Here is a 17,187-nt window from a genome sequence, read left to right on the forward strand (position 1 = left end):
ACCCCACACCATGTCCTTCATCCCAATTTACACAGGGTGAATGAGAGCCAGAAGCAGTCCTCTGCCTTAGACACAGCTTTTCAAACTAATAAGCAATAATCATAGCAACTTATCTTACTCGACTTCCCACCCCATGCAGCATCCTCTTATAGATGGTCTTCCAGGCTTTTCTGAAATACATGCAGGAATGAGGAGCTCACTTTCCACCAGCACTATGAGGCAGTGTTTCCTCACATTCAGCCAGGTGGCTCTCTGTAAATTTCTAATTCTGCTCCAGGAGCAACGTCCTCCAGGGCAAGTCACATTAAAGGCTTGCAACTATGTATGTATGTAGGCTAATTTATTATGCCCCTCCACTTTTTCTCTTCTCCAAGATAAATACTCCCAGTTCTTTTAGTCGTTTGTTCATTCAACAACTATTTAAGCATCTTATGCAAGTCACTGGGGATAGACACATCAGTGAACAGAACCACATCTTCAAGGAGGTGATGATTTTATGGTTTAGTATGGTGGCTTTTAATTCTCCCTGTCCACCAGAATAACTTGGAAAGCTTTAAATATGTGTAAATATACTAGAGTCCCAGCAGAGATTCTGACTTGGTTGGTCTGGCATGTGGCCTAGGCAATATATTTTTATAGATACAACTATATTGATATCTATTGGAAGACTGACTTGCTATAAAGCTACAGTGATAATGACAATGTGATATTAATGAAAACATAAATAGATCAGTGGAATTGAAGTAAATAGCCCAAAATAGACCCACACAAATGTGGTTAACTGACTGTAAAAGAGAAAAGGAAATTCAATGAAGAAAGGACAGTCTTTTCAATAAATTGTGCTAGAACTGGACATCCACATCCAAAAAAATCAACCTAGACACAGGCTTTATGCTTTTCACAAAAATTAACTCAAAATGGATCACAAACCATTGCATTTGCAAAATGCAAAACTATAAAATGTCTAAAATATAATGTAGGGGAAAATCTAGATGACCTTGGGTTTGGCAATGACTTTTTAGATACAGCCCCAAAAGCAAGATCCATGAAAGAAAAAACTGACATGTTAGACTGGATTAAAATTTAAAATTTCTGCAAAATACAGTGTTAAGAGAACAAAGAAACAAACCACAGACTGGGAGAAAACACATCTAATAAAAGGCTTGTATCAAAATATACATAGAACTCTTAAAACTCAGTAAGAAGTGACCCAATTTAAAAAAAACAACTGTGCAAAAGATCTGAACAGACACTTCACCAAGGAAGATATATGCATGACAAATAAGCATATGAAAAGATGCTCAGCATCTTTTATCATTAGAGAACTGCAAATTAAAACAATGAGATATCACTACACATCTATTAGAATAACTAAAATCCAAAACACTGACAACACCAAATGGTGACAGGGATATGCAGCAACGGGAACTCTCTCGTTCATTGCTGGTGAGAATGCAAAATGATACAACCACTTTGGAAGACAGTTTAGGAATTTCTTACAAAGCTAAATACAGTTATGTGTCACTTAATGACAGGCATACATTCTGAGAAAAGTGTCATTAGGTGATTTCATTGTTATGCGAACATCACAGAGTGTACACATACAAACCTAGATGGTACAGTCTACTACACACCTAGCCTATATGGTATAGCCTACTGCTTCAAGACTACAAACTTGTATAGCATGTTACTGTACTGAATACTAGGCAACTGTAACACAATAGTATTTGTGTATCTAAACATATATAAACATAGAAAAAGTACAGTAAAAATACGCCATAAAAGATTAAAAAAAAAACAGTACATATGTAAAGGGCATTTACCATGAATGGAACTTGCAGGACTGGAAGTTTCTCTGGGTGAGTCAGTGAGTGAGAGGTAAGTGAATGGAAAGGCCTAGGATAGTATTGTACACTACTGTAGACTTTATAAACAGTGTATGTTTACGCTGCACTAAACTTAAATTTTTTTTTCTTCAACAATAAATTAACCTTAACTTCCTGTAAGTTTTTACTTTATAAACTTTTTAATTTTTTAAAAACATTTTGACTCTATTGCATTAACACTTGGCTTAAGACACAAGCACATTGTACAGCTATACAATATTTTCTTTATAGCTTTATTCTATATGCTTTTTTGTATTCTTTGTATTATTATTATTATTATTAGAGACAGAGTCTCACTCCGTCACCCAGGCAGGAGTGCAGTGGCATGATCTCAGCTCACTGCAACCTCCACTTTCTGGGTTCAAGCAATTCTTGTGCCTCAGCCTCCCGAGTAGCTGGAATTACAGGCGTGTGCCACCATGCCCAGCTAATTTTCGTATTTTCAGTAGAGACGGAGTTTCACCATGTTGTCCAGGCTGGTCTCCAGCTCCTAAGCTCAAGCTATTCACTTGTCTCAGCCTCCCAAAGTGCTAGCATTACAGGTGTGAGCCACCACGCCTGCCTATTCTTATTTTTTTACCTTTTAATCTTTTTGTTAAAAACTAACACATAAACACACACTTTAGTCTAGGCCTACACAAGGTCAGGACTGTCAACATTAGTGTCTTCCACCTCTACATCTTGTCCCACTGTCAATATTAGTGTCTTTCACCTCTACATCTTGTCCCACTGGAAGGTCTTTAGGGGCAATAACATGCATGGAGCTGACATCTCTTATAATAACAATGACTTCTTCTGGAAGACCTCCAAAAGGACCTGCCTGAGGCTGTTTTACAGTTAACTTTTTTTTATAAGTAGGAGTACACTCTAAAATAACAACAAAAAGAATAATAAATATATAAACCAGTAACAGAGTCATTTATCATCATTATCAAGCATTATATAACACATATAATTGGCCAGGTGCTGTGGCTGACGCCTGTAATCCCAGCACTTTGGGAGGCCAAGGTGGGCGGATCACGAAGTCAGGAGATCAAGACCATCCTGGCTAACACAGTGAAACCCCGTCTCTACTAAAAATACAAAAAATTAGCAGGGCGTGGTGGCGGGCGCCTATAGTCCCAGCTATTCTGGAGGCTGAGGCAGGAGAATGGTGTGAAACCAGGAGGCGGAGCTTGCAGTGAGCAGAGATTGTGCCACTGCACTCCAGCCTGGGCAAGAGAGCAAGACTCTGTCTCAAAAAAAAAAAAAAGTACATATGTGTTCTATACTTTTATATGACTGGCAGCACAGCAGGTTTGTTTACACCAGCATCTCCACAAACATGAGTAATGTGTTGCATTAATATGTGATGATGGCTATATCATATATGTGGCTCATCACTGACTGAATCATCATTATGTGATTATAGTATTCCTAGGTATTTACTCAAATGAGTTGAAAACTATGTTCACACAAAAACCTGCTCATGAATGTTTATTGCAGTTTTATTCAGAATTGCTAAAAACTGGAAGCGACTGAGATATCCTTCAAGACTGAATGAATAAACTGTGGTATGTCATACAATATAGTATTATTCAGTAAAAAAAGAAATGAACTATCAACCCACAAAAAGACATGGAAGAACCTGAAATGTAGATTTCTAAGTAAAAGAAGCCAGTCTGAAAAGGCTGATTCCAACTACATGATATTTGGAAAAAGGCTAAACTATAGAAATAGTAAAAAGATAAGTGGCGGCCAGGTATTTGAAAGGTTGGGGTTAGTGGTTAAGGAATGAATAGGTGAAGCACGGGGCATTTTTAGGGTGTAAAACTATACTGTATGATACTATAATCGTGGATACACATACTATGCATTTGTCAAAACCTACAGAACTATACAACCCAAACAGTAAACCCTAATGTAAACTATGTACTTTAGTCAATAATAATGTATCAATATTGATTCATCAATTGTACATTAATGAGATGGTGATAATAGAGGAAATGGGGAGAGAGGGATTCTGCGTTTTCTTTTTTCTTTTCTTTTTTTTTTTTTGAGACAGAGTTTCACTCCTGTTGCCCAGGCTGGAGTGCAATGGTGTGATCCTGGCTCACTGCAACCTCCACCTCCCCGGTTCAAGCAATCCTCGTGCCTCAGCCTCCCGAGTAGCTGGGATTACAGGTGCACGCCACCACACCTGGCTAATTTTTTGTATTTTTAGTAGAGATGGGGTTTCACCATGTTGGCCAGGCTGGTCTTGAACTCCTGACCTCAGGGGATCTACCTGCCTCGGCCTCCCAAAGTGCTGGGATTACAGGCGTGAGCCACTGCGCCCAGCCGGATTCTGCATTTTCTACACAATTCTTCTATAAACCTAAAACTGCTCTAAAAAATAAAATCTATTAAAATAAAAAAGTATCAAGCAAAAAAATAGAAAGAAACAAAGACATACAAGATAAAGTTCATCTTCCTTTTTATTAGATTCATTAGACACAAAATTACTCTGACAAATTGCTATAAAGATTTCTAAGTACTTTCAATTTCTATGCTTATCTCATTGTGGGCTGGGAACAGTTCAGACTACACTTTCAGTAATGATGATCTAGCGTACCCTCCACTAAATAGAGTCCTGTTTGCAATGATCCTCTTACTGCCTGGTACCCTGAGGGAAACATGATACTCTAAGTGCAGTCTGTCCCTTGCAAAACATAGTGGAACTATCACCTCCTTTAACTGTACTTAATACTTCCAATAATTCAGTCTGAAGTTACATTAGATTTTTATCCACTGCAATGCCTTTGGCTGACATTGAGCTTCAGCAGCCAAAACCACCATTTTCATAAGAATAGCATCATGCTAAGTCTCCTCCAGTCTGCCCATATGTTGCCATTTCTTTTGAGACTTAAAATGCAGAACTTCATTGTCTTCCTCTTAAATTTCATCTTGTTGGCTTCAGCCCATCATTCCAAGCTTACTCATCTAAATATTAGTTTTCTCTTTCAGTTTTTGTCACCTACAAAGCTAATAAGTATGCCATCTCTTTAAACATTTTTCAAACATCTGTCATGTGCTCTTGCCTGTTCCAGGTTTTGAGGATTAAAGATGACCTAGAAATGGCCTACGTCTCCAGGAAATCACCACTAATAGGGGAAGTTGGCAAATACAAAACTAAAAAGTGCTGCACTAGAAAAATGACTGAACCAAATAAATAGGACCAGGTAGACGAAACAACAAAACATCTATGTACAGTATTAGGCAGAACCACTAATATCTTCAGCGGGAAGGATCAAATTCAGACATCTTCTATTTTAGATTTCAGTTCTGAAAAACCAAACGCTGGTTTGGTTACCAAAAGTTAACTGGCTGGCTAATACACTGTCTCTCTCTTTCAATGGTGGGTGCTGCTATAGGAAACTTGGCTAAGTTTAGTTCCCGCTGATGAAACACAATACTTATGAAATTGAGGCATACTGGTAAGATGCCAGCAGTTTTATTTATTACTAACAGAATCAAATGAGGTAAAAGCAACTTTAGAGATGACTCTGTACATTCAAAGAAATTAAATCCTGGAGATCTCAAATGATGTGCTGAAGTTATACAAGTTAGCAGTTAACATGTTTTAAGTGCAATAACTCCTTTCATTTAAATAGTCCTCTGGTTTTCAAAGTAAATAATTAACAAATTATTCTTATAAGTCATGGACCTTGGCCAGCAATGTTTTGTCTCTGTAGTCATCTTAAGCCTAACCAGGCCTTTTTAAGTCACTTATCTCTCCTCTGTAGGCATATGAGTTTGCAACTCCTGCTAACTCTATTATAAAAGCAAATGATCAATAATCATTCAAAAATTTGGTTTTGTTTGGAGACTACAGCTTTCAATCTAATAGCTTATAACTGATGACTAGTGTGATTGAAGTGCCTAAAGGATTTGAAAATGATTATTTTTACTGGGTTCTTTTGCAACCACAAATAACTTTTAAAACAATATGTGTACTAAGTGGAAATTATAAATCTCCTGACACAACCAGTTAAATGTACAAGGAAATCAGTCAACAATGATGATGTTGGATTTAAAACAACATCTGAGATGAAATTTTTTCTTGTAGTAATTAGATGGTGAGGCCAATTGCCTGTTAAGGTCACTTACTGTGGAGTATACTTTCAGTAATGATGATCTAGAGCATCTTAGATCTAGATATGAGGTGGAGTATAAAATAAATAATAATAGTAGCTTACAAAAACACTATAAGTAAAGAAACAAGCAAAAGAAAGATGGAAACGAAAAAAGATATTAATAAATCTATTTAGTGGCAGTCAGTCATAAGTCAAAGCAACCAGTCATAAGTCAAAGTATACTTGAATTTCAAAAAAGGCAAAGAAGTGCAGAGAAGGGAGACATTAATTACACCTGCAGAACTAGGAAAAGGTTCATGGAAGAGGCAGTATTTGGGTTGGTATTGAAGAAGGAGTAAATTTTTCATAGAGCTACTGAGATTTCCCTTGAGTGAATCACAAAAACAAAGGCCCAAAGGAGAAAAAAGTATGAACGGTTTAGGAAACAGTAAATAACTTGGTCCTTCTTGGAAATAGTAAATAATCTCATCATTCATTCACCACTTATTGAACATATTCTACATGCCAGACACAATGTTCGTCACTATGGATGCAAAGATGACATGACCTAGTTCTTACCCTCAAAAAGAAAAGCATTTTTAAAGACAATAGGAGACAAAGCTGTGCCACTGACTGTCAGACTTAACAAGTCAAAACTCTGTTCCTCCTTCAGGTGTTTCCTCCCCCATCCCTCAATAAATGGCAATTCTACTCTTTCAGTTGCTAAGCCAAAAATCTGATTCATTTTTTACTCCACTTTTTGTCTATCAGCCCCCACAAGCATCCATCAGCAAATTGTATCAACTATACCTTCAAAACAGATCTACGGTCCAACCACTTCTCATCACCTTTACTGTTATCACCTTGGTCCAAACCATCAGCAACTTTTGTGTACAACAGTGGATCTCAATAGTGGGGTGAAGAGGAGTTAGGGAGGGCAGGACAGATTTGCTCTGCTCCCCAGGGGATATTTGGCAATGTCAAGGGAAATTTTGGATTAAAACAACTGGGTAAGTGCTACTGGCATTTAGTAAGTGGGAGCCAGGGATACTATTAAACATCCTAGAATGCATAGTATAGCCCCTCATAACAAAGAATTATCCTGCCCAAAATGTCAATAGCGCCACTGTTGGGAAACTCTGACCTAGAATATTACAACATCCTTTTTAACTGATCCATTCTTGCCTCCCAGGGTGATCTATTTAAAACATGTCTCAGATCACATCACTCTCTTCTGCTTAAAATCTTCCTGTGGCTTCCCCAATCTCAATGTAAAAGCCAAAGTCCTTAGAAAAACATACAAGGCCTTATATGATCTTACCTTCCTCTACCTCCTCCCCTCATCTCACCCTGCTACTTCACTGACCTTATCTCCGACTTTTCCCCACTTCACTCACTCTGCTCCAGGCACCAAGGCTTTCTCCGACAGGCTATATACACTCTCTCCTCCAGGCCTTCATACCCTATGGTGACTATGCCTGAAAACACATTTCCCCTCAGATAACCATATGGCTTATTCCCTGTCTTCCTTCAAGTCTCTGCTGAAATATCACTTTATCAGATAATTCTTCCCTAACCAATCTTTATAAAATGATTTAAAAATCCCCCTCTACTCTATATCAGCACCCTTTATTCCACCCTATCCTGCTTTATTTGTATCCTGGCACTTATCATCAACTGACATTTATTTGCCTATTGGCTGGCTCCCTCCAATGGAACATATGCTCCACAAAGGCAAAGACTTTGTCTTTATCTCCAGACCTCAGAACTATTCCTTGCAAACAGTGGGTGACAGATAAGTAATGGCTGAATGAAGGAATGAATGAATAAATGGAGCTAGAAAGACCAGTCAGAAAAAAAGCTACAGAGAATCCTGAAGGCTAAGAAAGGAATGTGGATGCAGTCTTAGAGTGGCCTAAAGTAATTGTCCAAGAGTTCTCTCATCATGTCATACAAAACACCTTTTGCCCTCCCAACCAAAAAGAGAGACAGGGGAAGGGAGGAAGAAATGGAGAATTCTATAAGAACATTATAATAATCAGAGGTATCTAATAATGAAATGCACAATCTCTGAGGTATTAACATTGCCAATCAACCCCTCAGCAGAGAAGATACAGCAACAAGTTACTGCATAATCCCATAAGTTTTCCTCCCTTTGCTTATCCTTTAGGACCCAGCTTAAATGTCACCACTTCTATGAAGGCTTCCTATAATCCCTCAAACAGATTTAATGACTCCTAAATATGGCCCTCAGAGAAGTCCCAAACACTTATCCAATTTACTGAAAGTATTTGATAGTATTTATTTTTACCTCTAGACTGGAAAGGTAGTATATATCTCCTCATTTGCTACTATATCTCCAGCCCAAAATGAGGTAGCTCCAATAAAACACAGGCACCAGCACACATTTTTATAAAATCATACAGGGTACAAATACATTTCTTAAAACCATATTAAAAAGTCACTAAAGGCAGGGCACAGTGGCTCACACCTGTAATCCCAGCACTCTGGGGAGGCTGAAGCGGGTGAATCACCCGGGGTCAAGAGTTTGAGACCAGCCCGGCTAACATGGTGAAATCCCATCGCTACTAAAAATACAAAACTTAGCCAGGCATGGTGGCAGGCACCTGTAATCTTGGGAGGCTGAGGCAGGGAGAAATCACTTGAACCCAGGAGGCGGAGGTTGCAGTAAGCCGAGATCGCGCCATTGGACTCCAGCCTGGGCAACAGAGGGAGACACCGTCTCAAAAAAAAAAAAAAGTCACTAAAATCCAATGACTTTCAAATCCCTAATCAATATCCATTCATCCCTTCATCCTTGCCAATTTTGCCAACCCTAATTTTATCCAGGAAAGTAATGAGACAATTAAACACTCATTTTTCCAGCCTCCTTTAAAGTTGGGCATGTGCATGTGACAAAGTTCTAGTCAGTAAGTTTCTAAGGATTCTGGGGAAATGGTTGCTTTAATTATAAAATAGAACACAGGCAGAGTGCTAATTCTGCCTTTCCGCCCCTTTCTTCTTTTCTCAAACATTCTTTCTGGAGCTACAGTAGCCTAGTAACCTTGAGGTCATAAGTACAAGAGTGAAAAGCACACACTCAGTGGCTGGCAGAGTGGCAGAGTAGAAAAGGCTGGCAGAGTAGAAAAACAGAAAGAGCCTGGGTTCTAAATGGCATTGTATCCCACCCTATACAAGCAACCAATGCCCTCCCTCCAGAAAATTAATTCCTATATTTTAAATCACTGTTTTCTACTACTTACAGCTGAAAATATTTCTAATTGATACAAACAAGAAGCATACTAGAGAATCAAGAAAAAGATGCTTCTTACTAGTCTGAAACATTGATTCCTTATTAGCCACTGGTCTCTAACCATAAATAAATTCCTCTTATTAGCAGAAGAATGAAAAAGATCTGAGCAAATTAAGACAATACTAGATAGATATGAAAGGAAGACTGAGAATATTCTTCACAATTTGATATATTCCCAATAAGGCAGGCAATCACTCTTTCCAAGTTCTTTAAAAAAAAAAAAAACAGAATAAGAATATAACCTGTCTACTTCAAAAATGGCTTTCAAGTTGCTTTCAAATACACACACACACACACACACACACACACACACACACACACCCCTTAGGACAATAGTAATCATCAGTGGAATACAGGTAATAAAGTAGGAGACAATTAAAACATAGTACCAACACTCCATGCTTTGCAATTCATGACCAAATTTTGCTCTGAGCATCCTGGAAGCCAAAACCAAAATTTAAGAAAAAAGGGTGAAACTCAAACTAATACTCACTGTCTCATTAAGGAAACATTTCAGTGTTGTTAAGGGACAACCATTATTAGTTAAAGTAGGGGTTGGAAAATTCTGCAAAAGGCCAAATAGTAAATATTTTAGGCTTTGCAGGCCCTATCACCTCTGTCTCAATAACTCAACTCTGCCTTTGTAGCACAAAAGCAGCCACTGACAATATGTAAATGAATGTGTGTAGCTATGTTTCAACAAAACTTTATTTACAAAAACAGGCAATGGGGCCAGATTTGCCCCACAGGCTGTAGTCTGATGACCTCTGACTCAAAGGATTCTTAGATGTAAGCATCAGACTCTGAGTCTGGTGAAAATCAATTTAAAATCTGAGTCTAGTGAAAATCAATGTACTGAAAGAATATTGGGGGCTCACAAAATTTGGTGAAGGTTGGAAAAATAGGCTTAAGGCTAAACTTCCAGAATAAAGCACAAAGTTACACTGCAGAACTAGTCCAATGAGGAAACCACTGCAGCTACTTCTCATCATTACATGCTAGAATGGGTACCACCGTCACTTCTGGATCAAGAATTCAACCTCTGTGCAGCAATCACAAACAACAATGCCACTTCAGTGCCAGGAACCCAACCTTGCAGGGGATGCTACTGCCTCTGCCATCAGAAAAAGAAAGTTAGTTTCCCGTTACCTCCTCTCTCAAGTCTTTAAGTGCTAAATCCAAGTGTGGTCTGGGCATATCGGATTGGTGAAACCTAGGTCACTGCCTATGCCCCAGAAGCAAGGAAGCTTGGGAAGCAAGTATCTAAATTATCTCCTTTAGGGAACTGCATATTTGCCCCTAATGAGACTCATAAAATGGGGAACACAAAATACTGTACAGTAAAAACAAATGTTCCACTATAAAATCTTATAACTAACACTAACTAAAAATGTTCTATCTCTTCAAAAAGGGGACAAAATACAAAGTCTTATCAGTTACTACACTCCAGCATTAAATTCTGAGGAATGTTTCTCTTATTTGTAGGTGCTTTAAGTACCAGGTACTATTTAAATCCTGGTGCCTTTCTTCAAGCTATTACCATTGCATAGAACACACTTATCTCCCATTATTCCCTTCTGTTTCCTCCAAAACTTCTAATCTTCAGGTGTCCTCTCCTCTAACTTGCCATCTCTGATGCAGTCCTTACCCAACGGCTTGAGTAGGTCCTCCACCTTTAAGATCTTAGAGTACCTCATAAAAATGCTTATCACTTACCACAGATGTCTTGTATCTCCAGCCAGACTATATGTCCCCTTGTTTACGAAATGCTTCATTCATCTCTGTTCCCTCAGTACTTCATACAAAGCCTAGCACATACAAAGCTCTCAATAATTACATCTACTGAACCCAAACAAATATAAAAAATAAAAACATTACATATCTTTGGCTCAGCCGCCCAATTTCTCTTTGTCTTGTCCTGATTCATTTTATTCCCCAGGATACATACTTGTTTGCAAGGCTGTTTTAAATATCTAAAATGCTGCAGGAGCACAAGTGGCTTTTTTTTAAGTGATAATAAATAAGTCCTTTATAAACTCAAAAGTGGCTGAGGTCCACTGTGTCATCAAAGTAGAAGACAATTTTAATAGGCATACACATCCCATTTTAAGGACTCCTGGATTCCAAAAACTTCAGACACAGGCTTTTGCTTTTTTTTTTTTTAATATAAAATCTCAATCTACTAAAATCTTTCTTCTCACTTTAATTAAGTTTGGACTCCAACTATGGTGTTCTACTCGGTCAGCCAAGGTTTCTAGAAAAGAGGCACCTTCTGTAAGAATTGACAGTTGTAAAAAGCTGCATTTATGTGGCAACTAATAAAGCACATTCATATCCATTATCCAATTAATTCTTACATACCCTCCTTTGAGATTTCTCCTCAGAAGCAATGCCCAGCCCCACGGCTATCTCTGTGGCACCCTCCTGGACCACTCCCACCACAGCCACCATTATCTTCTGCCACATACACATTTGTTATAACTCTTTTCACTTAAACTAATTATCTGTATCTCTTATCCTTAGTGAAATATAAACAGCTTGACAGAAGGGACAAGCCTAGCACCGTGTAAGGCATAGTAAATGCTCGACAATTATTTGCCAAAGTGAGTTAAAAAGAATAATTCATATTTCTGTTTAAATAAGGTAGAAACTGAGTTGACTTTCCCAAATTATCCTAGCTAAAACTACAAAATCAAGATATTCTTAGTGCAGTGGCTTCTGCGTATAATCCTAGCTACTTGGGAGGCTAAGGCAGGGGGATCGCTTGAGCCCACAAGTTCAAGGCTACAGTGGGCTATGATCACATAGCCTGGGTGACAGAGCAAGACCCTGTTTCTGAAAAAGAAAAAATACTCCTGGGTTCAAGGAATCTTCCCACCTCAGCCTCCCAAAGTGCTGGGACTACAAGCTTGAGCCACTGCACCAAGCCCATTCTTGACTTTTCAATTGAAGGCCTCTTTTTTTTTTTTTTTTTTTTTTTACACCACACGGCCCTCTCCTAAGACTTGTTAAGAACAAAAGGAGTCTCAGACTAGGAGTCAGAGGTCTCTGTTTTCAGACAAGCCACTCAACTTCTCTGAGTATCAATTTCCTTATTTGACAAATGGGAACCACCACCACCATCTTTTTTTCTCTGATCACAATATGAAGGTTATATAAGATAATGGAAGTAAACGTAGCTTTAGTGTGAAATTATGGCATATACTAAGCCAGGGACAATGCTTAGGTTGATGACTCCCACCTCCCACTGTTGGTGACAAAGTCAAAACCAGAGTCAACCCTACAAGAATCATATCATTTAACCTAATAACAGCCCTTTAAAAATTGGCTTTATTACCCTCATTTTACAGGTAAGAAAATCGGGGCACAGAGAGCTTAACACTTGCCAAAACTTATAAACCTAGTAAATATCAAGTTCATCACATTCTAAGGAGTTTTCCATGCTGCTCTCCAAACAATTATAGAATAAAAGCTTTCCTTCCTCTTCAGTTTCAATTAGCACCAGGCAGATGGAATAGTGCTAATCTTAAATTGGGAACATTCTACTGTGTCTCAGGCCAAATCAAAATAAGAGTTAGTCTTGTAGGTAAGTATACCTTGATTCAACCCCTGTGGAGGCAAAAATTGAATCTGTATATTAGAAAATATTCTGATCTCAATTTAGAAATTATTTTAATGAGACTGAAAACCTGACAGGAAAAGCAAAAATGAGCAATCTTTAAAAAAAAAAAAAAAAAAAATTCGGTGCTATGATTATGAAACACAAAAGAGCCTAGGCTTTGAAATCAGACAGTTCAATCTCAGGGTAGAAAAGAAAACCTGGACAAAGCCCCGGAAGAATGAATGATCAGAACAAGAAAAGTTCAAGATGCTGCTATGGCTGGAGCAAATGGGGTTGGTAGTGGGATCTAAAGAAATACAGACTCCTATCTTTCTCTTCCCCTCTAGAAACCCCCACATGCTACAAGGAACCTAGCCTGTGATGCTTCCCACACAGCTCCAAAAAGTGCAGACTGGTAAAGTCACTGAGAAAGTCTAAAACCCTCCTTTGCTGACACTTCAGCCTAAGTGTCTCTGCAGAGACAGACTGAGGGTCTCTGCAGGGATAGGCTGTCAGGAGACACATATCACAATGCTGGCCTTCAGACAATTTGGGGCAGGCTTTTTTAGTAGGATGATGTCACTGCTATTATTTGCAGCTTTAAATACCTATATTCCTGTAGCTAGGAATTATTTTATTTAGGATGACAGTGTAGATTTTTTTTTAAAGACATATTTGGAATTTACTAAAGAGGAGAATAGTGTGAATATATCATTTTCTCAGAAAGAGCTCTGGCACAGGGCAGATATCTAGACCCAAGGATGCCAGACTCCAAACCCTTTCTTGTAGTCAGAGCCTCTCAGACCTCAGTGGGACCTGTGAATGGACTTCAAATGAAAGCAACAGATTCACTGCTGTGGTAACTTCACCATCCAAAATTCATTCCCTTGACAAGTTCCATCAGCATTCCCTGAGGGTCTACTAGATGCAATGCCCTGTGTTGAGTGCATTCAAGGAGCAGCCAATGAATCAGAGGCAACAGATATGTAAACAGCTGATTGTGAAAAGAGAGAGAATGAAGTAAATACTCCATCAGAAGTAGAAAAAAAGGGGACTGTTTATGACTATAGAGGTCAGAGAGGTTTCACCAGGTAATTCCTTCCTCTTATTGTTATCTTCCTCACTGTATTCAGGCTCTGACATCCATAGCAGACATCTGAACTAGGACTCTGAGGGATTTTATCAGACAGTGAAGAGAGTTGGCTAAGCCAGACAGAGGAGAGGATAAAGGCAAAAAGCCAGAGGAGTAAATGTACTGGGGTATGTCTAAGGAGTAGCCAGTGGCGATAGTTGGAGTGCACAGTATACCAAGGAACTAATAAGAAATGAGGACGAAAGGTACCTTTGGGTCAGATACTAGAGATCCTTGAATGACAGCCCAAGGAACTTGAAATTTATTCTCTAAGCAAAAGGGAACTATTACAATGTTTTTAAGCAGAGCAGTGGCATGATTTGACTTATATTTTAGAATGATCACTCTTGCAGAAATGTGAAAGGTATAAGAAGATTGAAAGCAAGGAGATCAGTTAGGAGGCTTTGTGTTATAATAGTCTAGTTAAGGCCAGGCGCGGTGGCTCACACCTGTAATCCCAGCACTTTGGGAGACCGAGGCGGGCAGATCACAAGGTCGGGAGATCGAGACCATCCTGGCTAGCGCGGTGAAACCCCGTTGCTACTAAAAATACAAAAAAAGAAAAAAATTAGCTGGGCATGATGGCAGACGCCTGTAGCCCCAGCTACTCGGGAGGCTGAGGCAGGAGAATGGCATGAACCTAGGAGGCGGAGGTTGCAGTGAGCCGAGATTGCACCACTGCACTCCAGCCTGGGCGACAGAACAAGACTCCATCTCAAAAAAAAAAAAAAAAGTCTAGTTAAGAGATGATGAGGGCAGCCCAACACTGTGGTCAGACCTAAGCAGGGTGAGTCCATCAGGAGGGGGAGGAAGAGACAAGTAGTCTAGTGAGGAGAATCAGAGCCCAAGCAGGGTGAAAAGAGCATCCACATTTGGGGCAGGGAGGTGGACTGGTGTGGAATATCATAGTCTAAGTATAGCAAGGAAGGCATCCGTATCAGGAGAGAGGGGTGCCCTGGTGTAGTGTGTCAGAAGCCAACCACAGTTAAGAAAGAGTTGTCATGGAAGAGCACCCTGCTATAGGGTACCAAAGCCCAAGCAAGATAAGGAGGGCATCCACACAGTAGGGAGAGCCTGTGATGGGGGTGTCAGAACCTCATTTCCTCATTATGTCTATGAGAAGGCCTGGGAGCAGCAATGGTCCAATAACAATGAGCATTATCTAGGAACCAGATTTTGGATTCTAAATGCCATTTAATACTAAAAAAAAAAAAAAAAAAAAAAAAAAAAAAAAAAAAAACACACACACACACATCAGGATTCCTTGGCTGGTATAGAGAAAGTACAGGATGAACCTAGAACATCTTATTGGGCTAGAAAGCAAGGAAGTAGTCAAAGAATGATAGGGACATATCAAAAGTTGACAGAAGCCAACTTCTGATTTGGCTCCTACTGGCCAAACCAAAGAGAATTTGAGCACCAAAACAAATGATGCTAGCAATAGATTATTACCCATTAAATAAAATGAGTCCATACTGATATAAATAACTAAATACACTGAAAGTTTGGCAACGAAACGGATATTTACATAGTACTGCCTACAAAATACTTATTAATTATACAAGAGAAAAGAGTAACTTCACAGTGAAGAAGGCTGGTAGACACCACCTTAAGCAAGATGCTGAAATGAACATCAATAGTCATGGGACAAACCAAAACCACTACCATCTAAAAGGATGCAATGAAACGAATACAGCACCAGTTCTGTAATATTTACTACCAAAGAAGCATAACGTAAGACTGGTGATGACATTCTATAAAACACCTGCTTTATCTGATATTCTACAAAATAATTGGCCTGTAATCTTCAGAAGTGTCAAGGTTATCAAAGTTAAGGAAAGACCGAGGACACTAAAAAGATGTAGCTTCTAAATGTAACACGTGATTCTGAACTATATTCTTTTGCTGTAAAAGACAGTCGGACAATTGGCAAAGCTTGAATGGGTATGAGGATTAGATAATAGTAATGTAACAGTGTTTATTTCCTGATTTTGATGGTTGCATTGTACTTACACAACCATCTTATTATGTAGGAAATAATGTGGGGTTGATGGAGGGTCATGTCAGCAACTCATTCTCAAATGACCCAGAAAAACTAAGTTTGATATCGCTTTTTAAATTATTTTAATAAAAACAAAACAGATGATGAAGATCTAGAATACAGCAGTAGCAGTGGGAGTAGAGAAGAAAGATATTTTTCCAGGGTCACACAGTGAAGTTAAAGGTAAGACTGAGACTAGACTCTTTCTGAACCTCATATTTCCTTCCTGCTATATAGGGCTTGTGTGGTGCCAAAGAAAATACTCTTCTAAGAATTAGAAGGTTATGTGTCTCATAGTGATTAAATATTGGGGGTTATAGAAAAAAAAAAGAAGATAACAAATCTTCAAGTGAGTCAGGCTGAGGTTTACAGGACATCGGGTTTTTGGTGAGGAAAAACATATTTCAGACTCCCCCATTTGATGAGAACAAAGTTTAATAACTTCAAATGTTCCTTCAACACTGAGATAATGACCTTGCTATTCGAAGAGTCCTTGTTCCCATTTTGGCCCAGTCCTATGAGTGTCCGAATAACCAGTGACTAAATTAGTCTCAGACCTACTGTCTCCTCCAAAGTCTAGTACTGTTTAGACAGTGGGGACAAGCTGTAGCTGTCAACAAAAGCAAATTTTATCCTTTCTTAAAATGGACCAATGTGACCCACACTATCAAGACCTTTTCAAAACAAGTGGAATAGAGGAAAACATCTCTTTACCAAAGGGCAGAAAAATATAATAGAAAGAATATGGACTCTAGAGTTAGATCCAGTTGTGATTGCTGACTCTTCCCCCTTGGGATGATTATTTAATCTCTTTGAACTGGAATTTCCTCCTCTGTTAAATGGGGACAAATAATTGTTGTAAAGCGTTAGGAAAAGAATCTTTAAAGCACATATCAGAAGTGCCAGAAACACAGTAGGAGCCTAAAATATAGTAACTAATTTCAGGGGTCCCCAACTCCGAAGACCAGTACCATGGCCTGTTAGGAACTGGGCCTCACAGAAGGGGACAAGGGAGCAAAGCTGAGCTCCACCTCCTGTCAGATCAGTGGCAGCATTAGATTCTGATAGGAGCACAAACTCTACTGTGAACTACACATGAGAAGGATCTAGGTTGTGTGTT

General features: G+C 38.9%; 1 protein-coding gene across 22 annotated transcripts in view; it reads right to left on the bottom strand.

Annotated features, from left to right (window-relative positions):
• The window catches only part of PAK1 (p21 (RAC1) activated kinase 1), a 207,993-nt gene that overhangs the window by 91,812 nt on the left and 98,994 nt on the right, over positions 1 to 17,187 (bottom strand). For 2 of the 22 annotated variants that reach the window (XM_047427053.1, XM_047427050.1), the window contains exon 1: positions 11,010 to 15,227. The exons of 19 other annotated variants lie outside the window; for them this stretch is intronic. The gene's annotated coding sequence lies outside the window, so the exon portion shown is untranslated. Of the gene's footprint in view, positions 1 to 11,009; positions 15,228 to 17,187 lie in introns of those variants that run through there. One more of the 22 variants, NM_001376284.1, reaches the window with a different exon arrangement.

This window comes from Homo sapiens, chromosome 11 (assembly GCF_000001405.40).
Source record: "Homo sapiens chromosome 11, GRCh38.p14 Primary Assembly".
In the NCBI taxonomy this organism is placed as follows: Eukaryota; Metazoa; Chordata; class Mammalia; order Primates; family Hominidae; genus Homo; species Homo sapiens.